Here is a 20,581-nt window from a genome sequence, read left to right as displayed (position 1 = left end):
TGTTGCCATTGCTTTTGGTGTTTTAGACATGAAGTCCTTGCCCATGCCTATGTCCTGAATGGTAATGCCTAGGTTTTCTTCTAGGGTTTTTATGGTTTTAGGTCTAACATTTAAGTCTTTAATCCATCTTGAATTAATTTTTGTATAAGGTGTAAGGAAGGGATCCAGTTTCAGCTTTCTACATATGGCTAGCCAGTTTTCCCAGCACCATTTATTAAATAGGGAACCCTTTCCCCATTGCTTGTTTTTCTCAGGTTTGTCAAAGATCAGATAGTTGTAGATAAGCGGCGTTATTTCTGAGGGCTCTGTTCTGTTCCATTGATCTATATCTCTGTTTTGGTACCAGTACCATGCTGTTTTGGTTACTGTAGCCTTGTAGTATAGTTTGAAGTCAGGTAGTGTGATGCCTCAAGCTTTGTTCTTTTGGCTTAGGATTGACTTGGCGATGCGGGCGGCTCTTTTTTGGTTCCATATGAACTTTAAAGTAGTTTTTTCCAATTCTGTGAAGAAAGTCATTGGTAGCTTGATCGGGATGGCATTGAATCTATAAATTAGCTTGGGCAGTATGGCCATTTTCACGATATTGATTCTTCCTACCCATGAGCATGGAATGTTCTTCCATTTGTTTGTATCCTTTTATTTCATTGAGCAGTGGTTTGTAGTTCTCCTTGAAGAGGTCCTTCACGTCCCTTGTAAGTTGGATTCCTAGGTATTTTATTCTCTTTGAAGCAATTGTGAATGGGAGTTCACTCATGATTTGGCTCTCTGGTTGTCTGTTATTGGTGTATAAGAATGCTTGTGATTTTTGTACATTGATTTTGTATCCTGAGACTTTGCTGAAGTTGCTTATCAGCTTAAAGAGATTTTGGGCTGAGACAGTGGGGTTTTCTAGATATACAATCATGTCATCTGCAAACAGGGACAATTTGACTTCCTCTTTTCCTAATTGAATACCCTTTATTTCCTTCTCCTGCCTAATTGCCCTGGCCAGAACTTCCAACACTATGTTGAATAGGAGTGATGAGAGAGGGCATCCCTGTCTTGTGCCAGTTTTCAAAGGGAATGCTTCCAGTTTTTGCTCATTCAGTATGATATTGGCTGTGGGTTTGTCATCGATAGCTCTTATTATTTTGAGATACGTCCCATCAATACCTAATTTATTGAGAGTTTTTAGCATGAAGGGTTGTTGAATTTTGTCAAAGGCCTTTTCTGCATCTATTGAGATAATCATGTGGTTTTTGTCTTTGGTTCTGTTTATATGCTGGATTACATTTATTGATTTGCATATGTTGAACCAGCCTTGCATCCCAGGGATGAAGCCCACTTGATCATGGTGGATAAGCTTTTTGATATGCTGCTGGATTCGGTTTGCCAGTATTTTATTGAGGATTTTTGCATCAATGTTCATCAAGGATATTGGTCTAAAATTCTCTTTTTTGGTTGTGTCTCTGCCAGGCTTTGGTATCAGGATGATGCTGGCCTCATAAAATGAGTTAGGGAGGATTCCCTCTTTTTCTATTGATTGGAATAGTTTCAGAAGGAATGGTACCAGTTCCTCCTTGTACCTCTGGTAGAATTCGGCTGTGAATCCATCTGGTCCTGGACTCTTTTGGTTGGTAAGCTGTTGATTATTGCCACAATTTCAGAGCCTGTTATTGGTCTATTCAGAGATTCAACTTCTTCCTGGTTTAGTCTTGGGAGGGTGTATGTGTCGAGGAATTTATCCATTTCTTCTAGATTTTCTAGTTTATTTGCGTAGAGGTGTTTGTAGTATTCTCTGATGGTAGTTTGTATTTCTGTGGGATCGGTGGTGATATCCCCTTTATCATTTTTTATTGTGTCTATTTGATTCTTCTCTCTTTTTTTCTTTATTAGTCTTGCTAGCAGTCTATCAATTTTGTTGATCCTTTCAAAAAACCAGCTCCTGGATTCATTAATTTTTTGAAGGGCTTTTTGTGTCTCTATTCCTTCAGTTCTGCTCTGATTTTAGTTATTTCTTGCCTTCTGCTAGCTTTTGAATGTGTTTGCTCTTGCTTTTCTAGTTCTTTTAATTGTGATGTTAGAGTGTCAATTTTGGATCTTTCCTCCTTTCTCTTGTGGGCATTTAGTGCTATAAATTTCCCTCTACACACTGCTTTGAATGTGTCCCAGAGATTCTGGTATGTTGTGTCTTTGTTCTCGTTGGTTTCAAAGAACATCTTTATTTCTGCCTTCATTTCGTTATGTACCCAGTAGTCATTCAGGAGCAGGTTGTTCAGTTTCCATGTAGTTGAGAGGTTTTGAGTGAGTTTCTTAATCCTGAGTTCTAGTTTGATTGCACTGTGGTCTGAGAGATAGTTTGTTATAATTTCTCTTCTTTTACATTTGCTGAGGAGAGCTTTACTTCCAACTATGTGGTCAATTTTGGAATAGGTGTGGTGTGGTGCTGAAAAAAATGTATATTCTGTTGATTTGGGGTGGAGAGTTCTGTAGATGTCTATTAGGTCTGCTTGGTGCAGAGCTGAGTTCAATTCCTGGGTATCCCTGTTAACTTTCTGTCTCGTTGATCTGTCTAATGTTGACAGTGGGGTGTTAAAGTCTCCCATTATTATTGTGTGGGAGTCTAAGTCTCTTTGTAGGTGATTCAGGACTTGCTTTATGAATCTGGGTGCTCCTGTATTGGGTGCATATATATTTAGGATAGTTAGCTCTTCTTGTTGAATTGATCCCTTTACCATTATGTAATGGCCTTCTTTGTCTCTTTTGATCTTTGTTGGTTTAAAGTCTGTTTTATCAGAGACTAGGATTGCAACCCCTGCCTTTTTTTTGTTTTCCATTTGCTTGGTAGATCTTCCTCCATCCTTTTATTTTGAGCCTATGTGTGTCTCTGCACGTGAGATGCGTTTCCTGAATACAGCACACTGATGGGTCTTGACACTCTATCCAATTTGCCAGTCTGTGTCTTTTAATTGGAGCATTTAGTCCATTTACATTTAAAGGTAATATTGTTATGTGTGAATTTGATCCTGTCATTACGATGTTAGCTGGTTATTTTGCTCATTAGTTGATGCGGTTTCTTCCTAGTCTCGATGGTCTTTACATTTTGGCATTATTTTGCAGTGGCTGGTACCTGTTGTTCCTTTCCATGTTTAGTGCTTCCTTCAGGAGCCCTAAAAGAGCTCAAATTTTAAAATTTTTTAAATTTTAAAAAGAATAATAATTTTTAAAGAAGACAAAGAAAAAGGACTGTGTTTCTAAGGCAGCAGACTGTGGGAAGCTAAGTCTATGGGAAACTAACAGAAGATGAGGGCTAGTTAGGAACATTTGTTATAGAGATTATTCTGGAAGCTTCTCCAGGCTGTAAGCATCTAGAGGAGTTTCCCTTCCATCCTTCCAGGCAGAGAGGACAGGAGGGACACCTTTACCCATTTATATCCTCCTTTTAGGTAAAGAAGGGGAGGGCAGAGAGCTTTGCTTATATCTGCATCTTTTCAGTTGTTTTCAGCTCCAAATAATCCTTATGCCAAAGCAGCATATTTTGGGGTGGCTGACTCTGCTACCCTTTGAGGGTCTAAAATCATTTTTACCAACTTTAGCCAAAAAAATACTTTGGCCTTAATCAAAAGAAATTAAGAATTTTCGTTACTTGCAACGGGTAAAGAATTCATTAACCGGAGCGCAGGGACGCTGAGGCAGGGATGACGGTGATGCCTGAGGTTCACGTGGGCCTCACCGTGATCCAGGCTGCACTTCAAGCTCTTCATTCACTGACTCCCTAACCCTAGATCACACCCACTGTGCAGGCGAGGGGCACAGGAGTTTGAGTATCTTGGCCAAGGTCACACATGAGTAGGTGGCCAGTGGGGTTGGACTCCCACTCTCTGGTTCCAGGCAGTGCTCTTGGTCCCAGCCCTGGCCTCACAGGGAGGCAGCTGCACCGTATCACATGTTTCCTCTGTGCGCCATCTCTTCCCAGTGTTTCTCCTGAAGCAGGAAATACTGTCTTAGCCAGCTGTGTGCGTAGTCCTGAGTTTTCAGAATGCAGTCATCTCCAAACGGGAATATTCTTCCAGGACCACACACTGGGGTCTTTTCTGTGTGGTCACCCAGTCTTGAGCATTAAGCACTTACTTCCAGGTTTTCCCAGTACAGTCAAACTCAGGGGAAGCCCTTTGGATGATGTTTTCTGCAGATCTGCTTGTATTTAATGAGGGGAGGTAATGGAAGTAAAGCCACAGTCTTTGATTGCCTTGCCATCAGGACCTCTGTAAACCAGGCCTGACTGCTGGAGTGTGTCCCTTTAATTCCCTTCTACATCCTCCCACTGGATTTCATTAGGACAATTGAGATGTTCAGGATCCAAGCTGTACAAAGGCACGCCACACGTCCTCACAATGGCCCTCTGTCCCCTCAGAACACATTGCTTTGTGCCCTAAATAGCTGCTTTGCTTTGAGGTGTGCTGGCCCCACCATCATTGCAGCCAGCGCAGTCCTCCATGGGAGGCCTCAGAGCATGATTGCAGAGTGACTGCATGATCGCGTGGCCCTGGTCCGTCTCCCCAACGAGTTGCTGCACCCAGGACAGCAGGTGCCTGATCTGTGCTGCTCACTGGTGCTGCTCCAACACCTCACAGTGCATGGGGGTGGGCACACAGGGAGTAGTTATTGAATGAATATCATCTTTAAAATGCTTTTCATTCCTATCTCCAGAGCTCACCACATTTCCTTTTATGTGACAGCTCCAGTAAGCTGCGGCCTCAACTTGGAGAGGTGCTCACTTATTTACTCAAATATTCATTCACTGTAAAAGCAGGTGACACCAGGAGCTCAGAAGTGAGTGACCACCACAGGAGAATGGGAGAAGGTGGGGGGCCCTCTGGAGAAGACAGCAGCTGTTGACACTGTTGGCCTGTTGCCTGCTTGCAGGACCTGCTAGGAAGACAGTTCCCAAATGCACCCTCCCCTCCAAATGCACCTGCCCTCCCTCTCCTGCTCAGTCCTCAGCCCCCAAGTAGGCACTGTGCCTTCTGTCTTGCAGGTTGTTCATCGAGACCTGAAGCCGAGTAACATCCTGTACAGGGATGAGTCGGGGAGCCCAGAATCCATCCGAGTCTGCGACTTCGGCTTTGCCAAGCAGCTGCGCGCGGGGAACGGGCTGCTCATGACACCCTGCTACACGGCCAATTTCGTGGCCCCGGAGGTGAGCATTCCCCGACTGCAGACCCAGGCCTCTCTATCCGCAAAGACAGGCTCTGCCCCCTCCCACTGCAGAGCCACCGGACAGCGGGGATGTCAGAGGCGGCTTGAGCTGCGTCAGCAGTGGTGTTGGGAAACAGAAACGAGAACCTTCAGTCTCTTGAGCCAGGGGCCAATCTTGCTTAAACGTAGTTGTTCTTATCATTCTCATTTTCCCATTTGAAAAAACTTTTCAACAGTAACATTTTTATGTAAAATTGTCTTCTGTAGACAATTTGGATGAAATCTGCATATTTATTCCAAGTTAGAGAGATGATGCAGTAGTCTCCTTATACAACCAGGACGCAGAGCTGCGGTTCACCTGGGATGGGAAATGGATCCGTCATAGCGCAGGGAGCAACTAAGTTTACGGATTTTCTCTGCACCCCAATTCTCACTCCAGATTGGTTCCCCGACAGCAGCAAGTCAGCAGCTGTCAGATTGAGAACCGCAGGGCTCCGGGGTGATTTGCCACTGAAAGCTTACGTTGTTCAGTGTCTGTGTCTGCTCCCAGCCCCGCTCGGAGCAGCTAGCAGGCACCTGGTGAACTTCTCTCTTTTCACATTTCCCGGGAACAAGTTCCATTAGGTTCTGAATTCAAGGATGTGTTTATAAATCTAAGCCCAATTTCTTGCCTTTGAGAAAAGCCAGTGGTAAAGAGAGGAAGGGAAGGGCTGTGGCTGATGTTGCCAATGGGACAGGGGAGGAGGGAACTGGGAAGGAAGGCGGACTTCAGAGTCTGTGTGGATCCCGTGGGTTCTTGATGGAACTGGACCAGAGCTGCTCCGATGGGAGGGGAGTCAAGCGAGCAGCCAGGTCTGAGGCGCCTGGCATCTCACTGTGGGTCTTGGAGTTGTTTAAGAGGTCACCCAGGGCCACTGGTCCATTGCAAAGATGCTTCTGCGTGCTGAGACGTGAACGGATGTGCAGCCAGGGGCTGGACTGAGAGGCTGTTTTAGGTTATGCAGGGGTCATCCAGACACTTGAGCAACCTGTGGCCCCTTTAAAAATAACCAAGTTTGGCTGGGTGCGGTGGCTCACGCCTGTAATCCCAGCACTTTGGGAGGCCGAGGCAGGTGGATCACCTGAGGTCAGGAGTTGGAGACCAGCCTGGCCAACATGGTGAAACCCCGTCTCTACTAAAAATACAAAAATTAGCCAGGTGTGGTGGTGTGTGCCCACAGTCCCAGCTACTCAGGAGGCTGAGGCAGGAGAATCGCTTGAACCCGGGAAGTGGAGGTTGCAGTGAGCCGAGATCACGCCACTGCACTCCAGCCTGGTTGAAAGAGCAGGACTCCGTCTCAAAAAATAAAAACTAAAAAAAATGAAAGTAACCAGGTTATAAGCCTCTGTTCATGCCTTACTTAATCAATATTAATATTGATAATATTATGGGGGAGGAAAATGACGTTTTCCTCATCCCTCATAAGTTCTTAGCTGGACCAGACCCCTGTAACAAAAGACAGATTAACAAGAGAAAAAGAAGTTTATTAACACACATCTTCTCATTTATGCATGCGAGATGCCCAGAGAAGGAGTCATCCTCACAGAGGTGGCTTTGAATCCAGCCTACATGGTATCTGCAACAAAGAACAGAGAATTTTTAGAGACCTGGCAAGACAAAGGAAGAGGGTTAGGGTCTCCAGGGGCTGCAGCTTGGGGAGGTGCAGGGCTGGCCTATGGAGGCTGGTCCCAGGTGGGACCACATGCATCCAAAGCTGTCCCTAGGGGAAGCCTTTGTCCTCTCTGGTTGGGGGTAGGTACCTTTTGTCTTAATCCATGTCCTGATTTTAGACAAATGGAGGACACAGAGCTCTCCTGCATCTGCTGCTTCTTATGTATCTTCAGCTCAGCGCCCCTCACGCCTATGCAGCATATTTTGGGGTGGCATATTCTGGTCTCCCACAATATTGATTTTATTGATTGTAGAATGCCCTAGGTTGTGATATTCCTTTGCCATTTACAAAGCACTTTTACCAACTTTTTTTACTTTCACTCTCATCCACCATACAAAGTAGGCAGGGTAAAATCTATTAACCATGTTTCACAGAGTCAGAAAGCACAAGCTCCATGTGTGTAAGTGACTTCTGAAGGTCACCCCGCTGATGGATTAGGAAGTGAGGCTTGCACCATGAGCACCACATTCATTCAGCATGCGCTGGCTGGTCCCCTCCATGGTGCAGGCTCACACATGGTAGCAGCGATACAGAGAAAAGGACAGGCTCCTTGCTCTCATCTCTAAGGAAATTGAGCCGAGCTCTCCCGACTCGATATTTAATGCTAAATCCAGTCATCTGCAGTAATCCATGAGCACCATTGTGGCTTCCTTTGTTGTTATTCAACTGTAACTATATCAGAGGATTGCCCTCTACTGAAGTATGTAATCCTAGGATGCATACAAGTTTTGCTGCTTTAACAGTTCTTCAAAAAAATTAAATGTTATCACGTAGCCCAGAATGGAACTTCTGGGTATATACCCAAAAGAATTGAAGGCAGGGACGCAAAGAGACATGTGTCCACCCATGTTCATAGCAGCACTATTCACAACAGCCAAAAGGTGGAAGCCACGAGAGTGTCCCTCGGTGGATGAATGGGTAAGCAAAACGTGGCATGCACACACAGCGGAACATTGTCCAGCCTGCAGAAGGAAGGAACTTCTGACCCCTGGAGGAAGCTTAGGGTGTTATACTAAGTGAAATGGGCCAGTCACAGAAAGACAAACATTGCATAATTCCACTCCTATGAGGTCCCTGGAGGAGTCAGATTCACACAGACGGACAGTAGAAGGGTAGGTGTTGGGGGCTGGGGGACAGGGAGTTGTTGTTTAATGGGGACAGAGTTTCAGTTTGGGAAGGTGAAATGCTCTGTGGATGGATGGTGGTGATGTTGGCACCACAATGTAAATGGGCTTAATGCTGCTAAACTGTGCACTTAAAAAGGGCTTTGATGGTCAATTTTATGTCATACATATTTTACCGTAACAGAAAAATCCTTCTGCCTTAAAAATTAAGGCCCTCCTTTTCAGCCTGTCTGTCATGTGTCTGGAAAGAGTACTAGTTTACCATGTGGCTGGCCTGGGAGGAGTCCCACTGCAGTACCTTAGGGTTGGCTTTGCCTTAAGAAACAGTGGTCACACCGAAGACATGGCACCGCCCTCCTCCTGGTCCCCAGCTTGCCGGCGTAGGATGCCGCTGGAGAAACGTGCTGTCAATCTGAATGTCCTTAGTGAAGGGCGTGCCGGTGTCCTGTCGTTCCCTCCTAGGTCCTGAAGCGTCAAGGCTATGATGCGGCGTGTGACATCTGGAGTTTGGGGATCCTGTTGTACACCATGCTGGCAGGGTAAGCAGTCACCTCAAACAGGTGTCAGGAGGAGACACAGGGCAGCAGCCTCAGTGGCTGATCTGTCAGGGGACCAGGGCCAGCCCTGTCCTAGTGTGCGCATGTGGGCAAACCCAACGTGTATGCAAACACTCCCAGGCCTTGAGTGAACACTCGCAGACTTTCTTAGCCCCTCAGGACAACTGAACAACAAGGACAAGAAATGTAGCCACCCATTTTCTTTAAACTCAGCTCATGAACAAAACATCAAGTCTTTTGCCAGCATAGTCCCCATTCTCTCTGCTGCACCTGCCACTGTTTTAAAAGGTAGCAACAGATGTGCCTTCCAGACATCCTCTTAAACCGAAAGCCCCATAGCAGCTTCAGGGTCAAACAGCATCTGTACCTGGGTTTCGTGGTCATGAGTCATGCACGGGCCGGTTCATTGTGGTAAGACACGTGGTGTTACAGAAAGTGGCCTGGGCCTGCCATCCAGACAGCTGACTTCCATCTGAGCCCCACTCGCCACTAGCCGTGACTCTGGGCTAAACACTTTAACCTGTACCAGCCTCCCTTCCCTCTCCCCTGAGTGAGAAGAGGACACACCATGGTTGCTTCTAGGCAGGAAGGTCTAGGATCTTACAAGATCCGCTGGTTCCTATTACGTTTATTAAATACTTGAATGGAGGCAAAAAGAAAAGAACCCTAGACCATCGAATCCTGTTTGCTGTAGCAAAATGGCTTGAATGCCCTCATGAGAATGAATGAGCTTGGCCTGCTTTTCACTTATTTCATCATAAGTCAACAGGTAGTGTCCACAGCAGAAGGAGAGTAAATCAGGCCCTGAAGCCGCACCCTGAGGACTGCAGTAGCAAAGGAAGGAACCTCAGTTTCTTACCAATACCACAGTCAGGTTACTTTGTGACGCTTCTAATACTCACTTTGCCTATACGGAAAACTAGATCACACACTTTCCCACTAGAGGAAGCGCTGGCAGCACACGTGTCCTTCCTTTCCTAGGAGTGTGTGGGTGTGTTTTAAGGTGGGACACCATGAACACCTCCCACGCGCTTGGAATATGGCCAGAGCTGCACCAAGCATGTATGTGTATTTGTGCATACACTCTGCATTTGCAGTGGAGGCTCAAAAAGTTAACTTGTCAAAGAACACAGAGTTGGGAATACATCCACCGTGGGTCTCTCAGACTCCACGTCTCAGGCTCTCTCGCATGATGCCACACCATCACCGTGGAAACCACGGCACCAGGCAACTCACTAGGCCACCCCATCCCAGTTTACCTGGGTCCGGAGGGGATACAGCACAGGTCTCACAGGGCTCTCCCACTTGCCCATCAACCTCTAGCCACCCAATTGCTAAGGAAGGAAAACGGGCATAGTGTTAGAGGTAAGTTCCGCTTTCCCATGAATCCTGGCTTCAGAGCAGAGGAGGGAGAAGCAAAGTGCTATTCCTTTGAACAGCCAAGGGGTGATATCAACTTGCAAACTTTATTTTAGGTTGTAAAATACAAGCTCATTACCACAAATTTGTCTAATTATACAGATTTACCCCTTTTGCAAATGGGCCAGACGATACCCCTGAGGAGATTCTGGCGCGGATCGGCAGTGGGAAGTATGCCCTTTCTGGGGGAAACTGGGACTCGATATCTGACGCAGCTAAAGTGAGTACATGTCCCAGCGTTGCTTTTAAATATTCAGATTCTGAAATAGCCATATGATTTCTGAGGAAGCCAGGGGATAGGTTTTATGTAAGTAGTATAGGTATTTTATCCTCAGCATATTTTTTTTTTTTTCTTGAAATGGAGTCTCGCTCTGTCTCACCCAGGCTGGAGTGCAGTGGCACAATCTTGGCTCACTGCAGCCTCTGCCTCCTGGGTTCAAGTAATTCTCCTGTCTCAGCCTCCCAAGTAGCTGGGACTACAGGCGTGTGCGACCACACCCGACTAACTCTTTTGTATTTTTAGTACAAAAAAGTTTTGTACTAAAACTTTTTTGTTTCACCATGTTGGCCAGGCTGGTCTTGAACTCCTGACCTCAAGTGATCCACCCACCTCAGCCTCCCAAATTGCTGGGATTACAGGTATGAGCCACCACACCTGGCCTTATCCTCGGCATCTTTTAAGCCTTTCATCTAAAAACATTATTTTCAAAAACATTTTTAGCATTTTCACATTTTCCACTATCTTGGTATCTTATGCAGGGTTCTCCAAAGAAACAAACAGAACATGCGTGCGTGTGTGTGTGTGTGTGTGTGTGTGTGTGTGTATAGAGAGAGAGATTTATTTGTAAGAAATTGGCTCACGTGATTGTGGGGACGGGGAAGTCTGTGACTGCAGGGCAGCCGGCAGGCTGGAGCCCCAAGGAGAAATGGATGGGGCAGTTGCCCACCACAGGCTATCTGCCACAGAATTCCCTCTTCCTCAGGGGAGCAGTCTTTTTCCTAAGGAGGCCTTCCACTGATTGGATGAGGCTGACCCACATTGTGCAGGGTAACTGCTTTACTCAAGTCGACTGACTTAAGTGTTAACCACATCCTGAAAAACACCTTCACAGCAACCTCTAGACTGGGTAACATAACCCAGCCATGATGACATATAAAATTAACCACCATGCTTTTAGTGATATTGCAGAATGATTGCCCTGCATGTTCATAAACCAAACAAACAAGTAGAGCTCTTGTCCAGAGGTATACTTCTGTTCTTGTAAAATACTTTGAATTTGGCCTTGTCTGCAGTCCACACAGTTTATGACCGGCCTTATTTCGTTTGCCCATCAGACGCTTTTTTACTTGGCATCATCAAATTCCTCTCTAATCCAATAGTAAATCATAATCCAGCCACTGGTAAGCAGCACCAACAGCTGTTCCCGTGTTCATGTAAAAGGGCTGAAAGAGAAGGAGTCAGGGGCTCTGATTCCAATTCTGCTGTTGACATCTCAGTGCAACTTCATGCAGTGAGCGTGGAGGTGATGATTGTAGAGATGATGGTGGAGGTAATGGCGGGAATGATGATGGAGGTGATGGTGTAGGGATGGCAGAAGTGGTGGCAGAGGTGGCGACAGCGATGATGGAGGTGATGGTGAAGGCATGGTGGAGGGAATGATTGTGGAAATGATGGTGGAGATAATGGCAGGAGTGATGATGGAGGTGATTGTGGAGGGATGGTGGAGGTGACGATTGTGGAGATGATGGTGGAGGTAATGGTGGGAGCAGGGATGGAGCTGATGGTGGAGGTAATGGTGGGAGCAGGGATGGAGCTGATGGTGGAGGGATGACAGAAGTGGTGGCAGAGGTGGCGGGAGTGATCGTGGAGGTGATCATTTTGGAGGTGATGGTAGGAAATGATGGAGGTGATGAAGGGATGGCAAAAGTGGCAGAGGTGGTGGCAGTGATCATGGAGGTGACGGTGGGAGTGGTGGGAGATGATAGTGAGAGATGATGGTAGTGATTGTGGAGGTAATGGTGGAGGTGATGGGGATGATGGTGAGGCTAATGAGGGTAATGGCAGAGATGATAGTGGAGGTGATGGTGAAGATAATGGAAGGTAATGGCAGAGATGATGGTGGAGGGTGATGGTAGAGGTGATGGAGGAGGGATGGCAAGGGTGACGGCAGAGGTGACAGAGAAAAAATGGTGAGGGTGATGGTGGAGGTGGTGGTGAAGATGATGGCGAGGGTGATGGTAGGGTTGATGGAGAAAGGATGGCGAGGGTGATGGTGGAGGTGGTGGTGAAGATGATGGTGAGGGTGATGGTGGGGGTGATGAAGGATGGTGAGGGTGGATGGTGGAGGTGATGGAGGAAGGATGGTGAGGGTGATGGTGGAGATGGTGAGGATGATGGTGGAGGTGGTGAAGATGATGGTGAGCGTAATGGTGGGGGTGATGGAGGAGGATGGTGAGGATGATGGTGGAGATGGTGAAGATGATGGTGAAGGTGATTGTGGTGAGGGTAATGGTGGGGGTGATGGAGGAAGGACGGTGAGGATGATTGTGGAGGTGATGGTGAAGATTATGGTGGGGGTGATGGAGGAATGATGGTAAGGGTGATGGTGGAGGTGGTGGCAGAGGTGATGGCAGCTGGCATTTAGTGAGCATATCCCAGATGTCAGACCCTGACAGTCCAAATGCTCCTGTCCACACCCTCACTTTGTCTTAAATGAGTGTAGATGTCTTAGTTCTGGTTCCCAAAATAGAGCCTCAGACTAGGACGTGGGTGCTGGTGGTGTGTCTGGAAGGCCATCTTGGAAGCTGGCATGGGAGCAGGGAGAAGGTGTTGGAAAAGGAGCAAAGTCAAGGACAAGGGCACATTGTCAAGATCGCTGCTGCAGGCAGAGGTCTCTGCCGCCTCACAGGGCCTCACCAACCCTTCCTGCCCTTCACCACCAGTCCCTACCACCACCACATCCCCCGTCTTTCCCCTGTGCCTCTTCCTTTCTCTTACTTAGCACACAACAGAACCTCCAGTCCTCCAAACACCAGCAAAGCTACAAATTAGTATGTCTTTCTCCACATCCTACAGGTATGAAGTAAAAATACTGCTTCTCTCAGTGTCATGACTATAAGATCGTGAAAAGAGTTATTAAAGCCCTAAAGGCTTTTGTTTTTACACCTGAAAATGACAACACTCATTTTTCTAGGAGATACTTGTTTCAAGAAATTACCAAGGTCAATGTTATCAAATATCAAAAGGCATTAGATTTTTCTGTATAAAAAAGATATTGTTATTGTGCATAGTATTTCTTAGTTGTTTCATGACCCAAAATTCTAATGAGTAATTCAACTTCACATTCTATATGCATTCTTTTTTGTTTGTTTGTTTGTTTGAGATGGACTCTTGCCATGTAACCCACTCTGGAGTGCAATGGTGCAATCTCAGCTCACTCCAACCTCTGCCTCCTGGGCTCAAGTGATTCTCCTGCCTCAGCCCCCCAGGTAGCTGGGATTATAGGCGCATGCCACCACACCCAGCTCATTTTTGTATTTTTAGAAGAGACGGGGTTTCACCATGTTGGCCAGGCTGGTCTCAAACTCCTAACCTCAAGTGATCCACCTGCCTCAGCCTCCCAGAGTGCTAGGATTACAGGCATGAGCCAACGCGCCCAGCCGCATTCTAATTCATTTTATTACCTCTTCAAATGTGGTGGGAACACTAAGGAAGGAGGGTAGGCTAGTGGAGAGAATATGGATTCTCATCTTGGATCTTCCTCAGGCAGTAATGTCTTCATCTGCAAATTAGGAAAAGTAATATTTGCCCCATTTACCTCAAGGATGATTATGGTGATTAGAGCAGAAGCATCAGGTTTGTCCGCAAATGTAATTCACACTGTAACCAAGTACTCTGCAAATGTAATTCACTGTAATAGAATGTGCACTGTATTGTATGTGCATGTGTACACACATGTAGAATCTTGTTTTAGAGGTTTTTACTGCTACGACTTTACAATGAAATGGAAAAATACCATTATTGCACATGAACCCACTGGACATATCTGATGGCTCCAGATTGTAGATTTTGCGGTTTCTGATTATTTGTAGTAAATATTTATGGGTAGTCCTGATAAAAAATGTAAGTATGTGCATCATTATGAATTGATTTCTACCTGTGGAATATTAATTATTTCAGCTTTTCCCTTTGGAAAGATATAATTGTTACAAGAAACAGTGTTTCATCGATTTACATGCATCATCTAATATTTCCACATTTAACTTTTTAGACATGAAATATTTAATAAAAGATAAACCTTCAGTGAACTTCCAAGTTTGGTAATATTTAAAGCTAAAAACCATTGACATACTTCTAAACCTGAAAGTGAACATGACCCCAAAATGCAAAGACCCACACTCAGCATAGTGGTTGGGTGTTGCCATAGAGGGAGAGGAGTTCTGCTGGGGAGGCTCTCTGACCCAGCACAAATGATCCAACCATCCCCCCGACTCTCATGACCTTCCCTGGCAGGACGTCGTGTCCAAGATGCTCCACGTGGACCCTCATCAGCGCCTGACGGCGATGCAAGTGCTCAAACACCCGTGGGTGGTCAACAGAGAGTACCTGTCCCCAAACCAGCTCAGCCGACAGGACGTGCACCTGGTGAAGGTACCGGCAGGCGACAGTGAGGACAGAGTGGTGGGAATGGGAAACCCAGAAAAGAGCCTGATACCTTGCAATCACTCCGAAGAAACCACAGAGTGCAGAGAAAGAGCCCATAGCAGCCCCAAACTGCACCGCCGGCCCACCTACCTTCGTGCACTTCACCAGACACGTGCAGTATTGCACAGGGCTCCTACCTGAGTAGGTGGCAGCCTCTGCTGACGTGGTGGCAGCTGGTGTGGCTGTTCCACTCAAGTTCAAAGCCTCTATTCTAGGCCACACATGCAAAAAAAGTCCCCTTCATAAGTGACTTACATTCAGGCAGCAGTAGCCTCTCAGGCACCCCATCCTCTGGGTGGGACTCCTTTTCTGAAAAGTGTAGACTGTCCCACCCCAGCAGGAATAGGCATGATCCAGTTAAGAGCCGCCCCCTCCAGATCCATTCTGAGAATTTGGATTCACTCCAGGATATGCCTGTTCCTCCAAATGAGTCCAGACTCCTCAACAGTGGCCAAAGTCCAGGGTGACTGGCCCTGGCATTCGCTGTGTCCCCTAGGACCCAGCGAGCCCCAAAACAGACCTGGCCTCACTGTCAGAATGCAGGGGATCACGTGACCTCAGCCTGGGGGCTCCACAAGCGTCCAAAACATTTTCCCCCAAGGCACAAGCACAGTGCCAGGGTGGCATGGGGTGGGGGGGGCAGGTGCAGGAGACAGGGCCCCTGTCTCCTGGGGCCCACGTGTGCTGGCCCCTGGCGGCAGGCTAACAGCACTCCATGCTCCAGGGACCCTGGGGAAGCTCTGGTTTCTCCCACGTTGCCTGGGGGCAGCTGAGGCCCATGGAGGCCCCGGGCTCCGGCTCAACCCCTGGAGTGAGGCGCCGCGGCTCTCACCCTTGTCTTCTGTTTTGCAGGGCGCGATGGCCGCCACCTACTTTGCTCTAAACAGAACACCTCAGGCCCCGCGGCTGGAGCCCGTGCTGTCATCCAACCTGGCTCAGCGCAGAGGCATGAAGAGACTCACGTCCACGCGGCTGTAGCGGGTGGGACCCTGGCCCCAGCGTCCCCTGCCAGCATCCTCGTGGGCTCACAGACCCCGGCCTCGGAGCCCGTCTGGCACCCAGAGTGACCACAAGTCCAGCAGGGAGGCGGCGCCCGCCCTCGCCGTGTCCGTGTTTTCTTTTTCAGCCCCGGAGAGGGTCCTGACCTGGGGGCTTCTCCAAGCCTCACTGCGCCAGCCTCCCCGCCCGCTCTCTTTTCTCCCAAGCGAAACCAAATGCGCCCCTTCACCTCGCGTGCCCGTGCGAGGCCGGGGGCTTCTTTCAGAGCCCGCGGGTCCTCTCATACATGGCTTCTGTTTCTGCCGAGAGATCTGTTTTCCAATTATGAAGCCGGTCGGTTTGGTCAGACTCCCGACACCCACGTCCCAGGTACCCGGTGGGAAAGTGGCAGTGCGAGGGCGCAGCCATTGGTGGTTGCAGGGCCCCAGAGGGCTGGGGTGACCTGGCATCCCGGGGCTCCCCACGGGCTGGATGACGGGGTTGGCACTGTGGCGTCCAGGAGGAGATGCCTGGTTCTGCCCAAAATAATCCAAAGAGCCGTTTCCTCCTCGCCCTTCAGTTTTTGCCTGAGGTGCTGGGTAGCCCATCCTTTCCTCTGTCCCAGATTCAAATGAGGAGTAAGAGCCCAGACGAGAGGAAGGCAGGCTGGATCTTTGCCTTGAGAGCTCCGTGTCACCAGGATGGAAGGGGGTGCCTCTCGGAGGAGCCTGTGTCCACCTCCAGTCTCGGCTTTCCCCGGGGGGCCAAGCGCACTGGGCTGCCGTCTGTCCCCAGCTCCCGTGGCCACACAGCTATCTGGAGGCTTTGCAGGGAGTCGTGGGTTCTCGCACCTGCTCAGCCCTGTGTCGGCTTCCTGTGTGCTCACCTAAAGCTGTGGTTTTGCTGTGTTCACTTCGATTTTTCTGGTCTGTGGAGAAACTGTGAATTGGAGAAATGGAGCTCTGTGGCTTCCCACCCAAACCTTCTCAGTCCAGCTGGAGGCTGGAGGGAGACACAGGCCCCACCCAGCAGACTGAGGGGCAGAGGCACAGGTGGGAGGGCAGCGGAGATCAGCGTGGACAGGAGCGATGCACTTTGTAGATGCTGTGGCTTTGTGTTGCGTTTTGTGTCTCTGTTGCACAGATCTGTTTTTTCACACTGATCCGTATTCCCCTGGGTGTGCACACAGGGCGGGTGTGGGGCATTTAGGCCATGCTGTGCTCTACTTCATTGAGTAAAATCGAGTGAGAGGTTCCGGGCAGCAGGATCGACGCCCAGTCCAGCCGGCAGAGGGAACACACGGGTCCTTCATTGTCCTGTAAGGGTGTTGAAGATGCTCCCTGGCGGCCCCCAAGCAGACTAGATGGGAGGAGGCGCCGCTCAGCCCCTCACCCTGCATCACTGAAGAGCGGCGCCTCTGCAGCAAGCAGGGCTTCAGGAGGTGCCCGCTGGCCACAGCCAGGTTTTCCCTAAGAAGATGTTATTTTGTTGGGTTTTGTTCCCCCTCCATCTCGATTCTCGTACCCAACTAAAAAAAAAAAAATAAAGAAAAAATGTGCTGCGTTCTGAAAAATAACTCCTTAGCTTGGTCTGATTGTTTTCAGACCTTAAAATATAAACTTGTTTCACAAGCTTTAATCCATGTGGATTTTTTTTTTCTTAGAGAACCACAAAACATAAAAGGAGCAAGTCGGACTGAATACCTGTTTCCATAGTGCCCACAGGGTATTCCTCACATTTTCTCCATAGAAGATGCTTTTTCCCAAGGCTAGAACGACTTCCACCATGATGAATTTGCTTTTTAGGTCTTAATTATTTCACTTCTTTTTAGAAACTTAGGAAGAAGTGGATAATCCTGAGGTCACACAATCTGTCCTCCCAGAAATGAACAAAAGTCATCACCTTTTCTGCTTGCTACACAGGCAACGATTCCCCCATCAGCTGCCCGGACCCTTTGGCCTGGCTTGGTGTGCAGGCCTGTCTGTTTGCTTAAAGTCAGTGGGTTCTGGTGCAGGGAGTGAGAAGTGGGGGAAGTGAAAGGGAAAGCATCCGTGAGAAAGCGGCCACGGTTTTCCCTCCTTGTGTGCCCATGGGGCACCAGCTCATGGTCTTTTTCAGTCATCCCAGTTTGTACAGACTTAGCTTCTGAACTCTAAGAATGCCAAAGGGACCGACGAGACTCCCCATCACAGCGAGCTCTGTCCTTACATGTATTTGATGTGCATCAGCGGAGGAGAACACTGGCTTGGCCCTGCTCCGCTGAGTGTCTGTGAAATACCTCTACTTTCCCTCCCATATCCAGAACAAAATGATACTTGACATCCTTCCACAAAAGTCAGCCTAAAGAAGTTATGGTATCATATGTTAAACTAAGCTTTCAAAAACCTTAGTGAAATAGCAAGTGACTGCTTTCAAGCAGCAGTCGACATGTAAATGAAGGTGTTCTTAGAATTCGCATTTTGCCAGCTCAGCGCACCTCCACAACGAATGAAATGCTCCGTATGATTTGCACAAATGACATAGACCTCCCCAAAAGTTAACTGGCTCTCCTTCCTCACACAGTTCATCATAACCCAACCCCCCACCCCCGGGTCATGAAAATCACAGAACTTATAAACACATTGAACCCTAGATCTCAGGCTTCCTGACCTACCGCCAGTGGCCCCTTGCTGGCCACCCTATAGGGTCCTCCTTCCCTGGCAGCCCCCCATGTGGGAGAAATACCTGATTCTCCCAATCTGCAGTGGGAGAGCTTTGCTGAATTCCATCCCAAAGTCAAACATGGGCAAGAGGTGAGGATTTCACTTTTACCCTCAAGTCCGATTTGTCTGTGATTTTAAACTAACTGTGTATGTATTGATGTTTGGAAGATTGTTTGAATTTTAAAGTGATAATAGTACTTAATGTTATCCAGTATTGTTCATTAAATGGTGTTATCCTAAAGCTGCACTTGGGATTTTTACCTAACGCTTTACTGATTCTCTCAAGCACATGGCAAAGTTTGATTTGCACTCCGTTCATTTCTGACACGTTTTGCTGCCTCCTACCTTTCTAAGCGTCATGCAAATTCGAGAATGGAGAAGGACGCTGCCGGTCCCTGAGCGGTGTGGAGAGGGCGGAAGGTGGACTCCAGCGCAGCTTGAGGGGCTGAGGACGGAGGCTGCAGCATCTGTGTCGTTCTACTGAGCACGCTTCTCTGCCTCGCTCCTGACTCAGCACTTTGTTCACTGGCTCAGCAGTTATGTTTACACATCATTTTTATGTTCCTGCTTTGTAATTCATGTTTGAGATGGGTGGCCACTGTACAGATATTTATTACGCTTTCCAGACTTTCTGAATAGATTTTTTTGAATAAACATGGTTTTATGAAGTGTAATCTTTTTCTAGCCTAACAATAACCTTTGGACTTTCTGTGTTGTTACCAATAACAGTCTGGATAGCTCCCCACTCCTCTGGCCCCTCCCGCTGGCTTCAGGTCATGACCACCTCTGCTGCTACCATATGACTCCTCATGGGGAGGTGAAGCAGCATCACGACCACTCCAACTCAGAGCCCTGTGCGTGGGTGTGTGCAGGTGGGTGAGCTCATGCATATGTGTGTATGTACATATGTGTAGGTGCACATGTGTGCGTGTGTAAGTGGGTGAGTTCATGCATGTGTATGCACGTGTGTGTGTGTGCTTGTGTGTGCACATGTGCGCATGTGTAGGCGGGTGAGTTCATGAGTGTGTACACATGTATGCTTATGTGTGTGTGCACAGGTGTGTGGGTGGGTGAGTTCATGCATATGCATGTGTGTACGTGTGTGCTTATGTGTGTATATGTGGAAGTATGATTTCATGCATGTGTATACATGCATAAACGTGCATGAGAGCACATATGCACATGTGAACATATGGATGTATGTTTATCTGTGTGTGCATTAGGGCCTGTGTGTGTGTGTGGGGGATGCACCCCTGAGAGGAGCCCAGCTGTGTGATGGATCTGGGGCTGGCAGGAGACAGTGGACGGTCATCTTGTGCAGCAAAGCAGGTGCCCAGCACATGGCCCTGGGAATAGGATTTTTACCTCACTGTGTCTCCTGTGCTTTGCCACCTGGCCTCAGCATGCCCATCCCTTCTTAATACAGACATAAAGCCAGTCTGCACTGTTGGTCCTTGGCTCTCCAACCTAATTTCTTCTTCCTATTTGGTAAATTCCTAACCAGCATGTGTCAGCAAGCAGCACACACACACACACACAAAACACCATACTGACACAGGCACACACACACACCTTTGCTCCTGTAGTAGGATGCCCCATTTTCTGAGCTGCTCTCCCAGCAGGGTGAAGGGGGCCTTGCTGAAATCTGTGAGACTCACTGTGTAGGCAGGAGCCCTGGATCCCACTGAGGAAATTGCAGGACAAACAATAGATGCAGAAGAAATCCTGCCTCCTGCTGTACCCAGAAGTGCCCAAAAAATGCCTACTGAAAGAGGCATCATTTGAAAAAAATGCCTCTTACATCCTCTGTGTATCATTTTCTATATCTGCCATAGCAAATCTAAAACAGCAGCATATTCTACTGTCTTACAGCTCTGTGGGTCACACGTCCAAGACAGGGCTCTCTGAACTAAAACCGGTATGTGGGCAGGGCTGCCTCCTTCCAGAGGCTCTCAGGGAGAATCCGATTTTCTTCCAGCTTCCAGAGGCCATCTGCGCTTGGTGGCTCGTGGTCCCTCCCTCCCTCCTGCAAATTCAGCAGTGGCAGGTGGAGTTCTCACACCCTCTCCTCCGCCCAGCCCTCCTGCCTCCCTCTTCCAATTCTAAGCCCTGTGAGCACACTGGCCCACCAGGATATTTGGGAAACTCTCCCTATTTTAAGGTGGTCTGATTAGCACCCTGAATTCCACCAGCAACCTCAGTTCCC

General features: G+C 48.0%; 1 protein-coding gene and 1 long non-coding RNA gene across 10 annotated transcripts in view, besides 1 other annotated feature; one reads left to right on the top strand and one right to left on the bottom strand.

Annotated features, from left to right (window-relative positions):
• RPS6KA2 (ribosomal protein S6 kinase A2) overlaps positions 1 to 19,071 on the top strand; it is a 453,410-nt gene extending 434,339 nt beyond the window's left edge. For all 9 annotated transcript variants that reach the window (XM_047419235.1, NM_001318937.2, NM_001006932.3 and 6 more), the window contains 5 exons: positions 5,018 to 5,179; positions 8,477 to 8,553; positions 10,093 to 10,210; positions 14,504 to 14,641; positions 15,548 to 19,071. In XM_047419235.1, the coding sequence (XP_047275191.1) occupies positions 5,018 to 5,179; positions 8,477 to 8,553; positions 10,093 to 10,210; positions 14,504 to 14,641; positions 15,548 to 15,673 (621 nt within the window). In that variant the 3' untranslated portion in view covers positions 15,674 to 19,071. The remainder of the gene's footprint in view (positions 1 to 5,017; positions 5,180 to 8,476; positions 8,554 to 10,092; positions 10,211 to 14,503; positions 14,642 to 15,547) is intronic.
• Positions 6,682 to 15,549, bottom strand: LOC124901460 (uncharacterized). The gene is made up of 2 exons (XR_007059866.1): positions 14,786 to 15,549; positions 6,682 to 6,794 (listed from the first exon to the last, which is right to left on the bottom strand). It is a non-coding gene; the product is annotated as an uncharacterized LOC124901460 (long non-coding RNA).
• Positions 8,844 to 8,913: an enhancer, noted in NCBI's record as "active region_25434". NCBI's record gives its function as "activates an Ori minimal core promoter by ATAC-STARR-seq in GM12878 lymphoblastoid cells {active_cell/tissue: GM12878}" and the evidence as "EXISTENCE:reporter gene assay evidence [ECO:0000049][PMID:35858748]".
• Positions 19,072 to 20,581: the final 1,510 nt, after the last annotated feature.

Source organism: Homo sapiens, chromosome 6 (assembly GCF_000001405.40).
Source record: "Homo sapiens chromosome 6, GRCh38.p14 Primary Assembly".
In the NCBI taxonomy this organism is placed as follows: domain Eukaryota; kingdom Metazoa; phylum Chordata; class Mammalia; order Primates; family Hominidae; genus Homo; species Homo sapiens.
The sequence above is the reverse complement of the archived record's forward strand: the minus strand, read 5'-3'. Positions and strand labels throughout refer to the sequence as shown.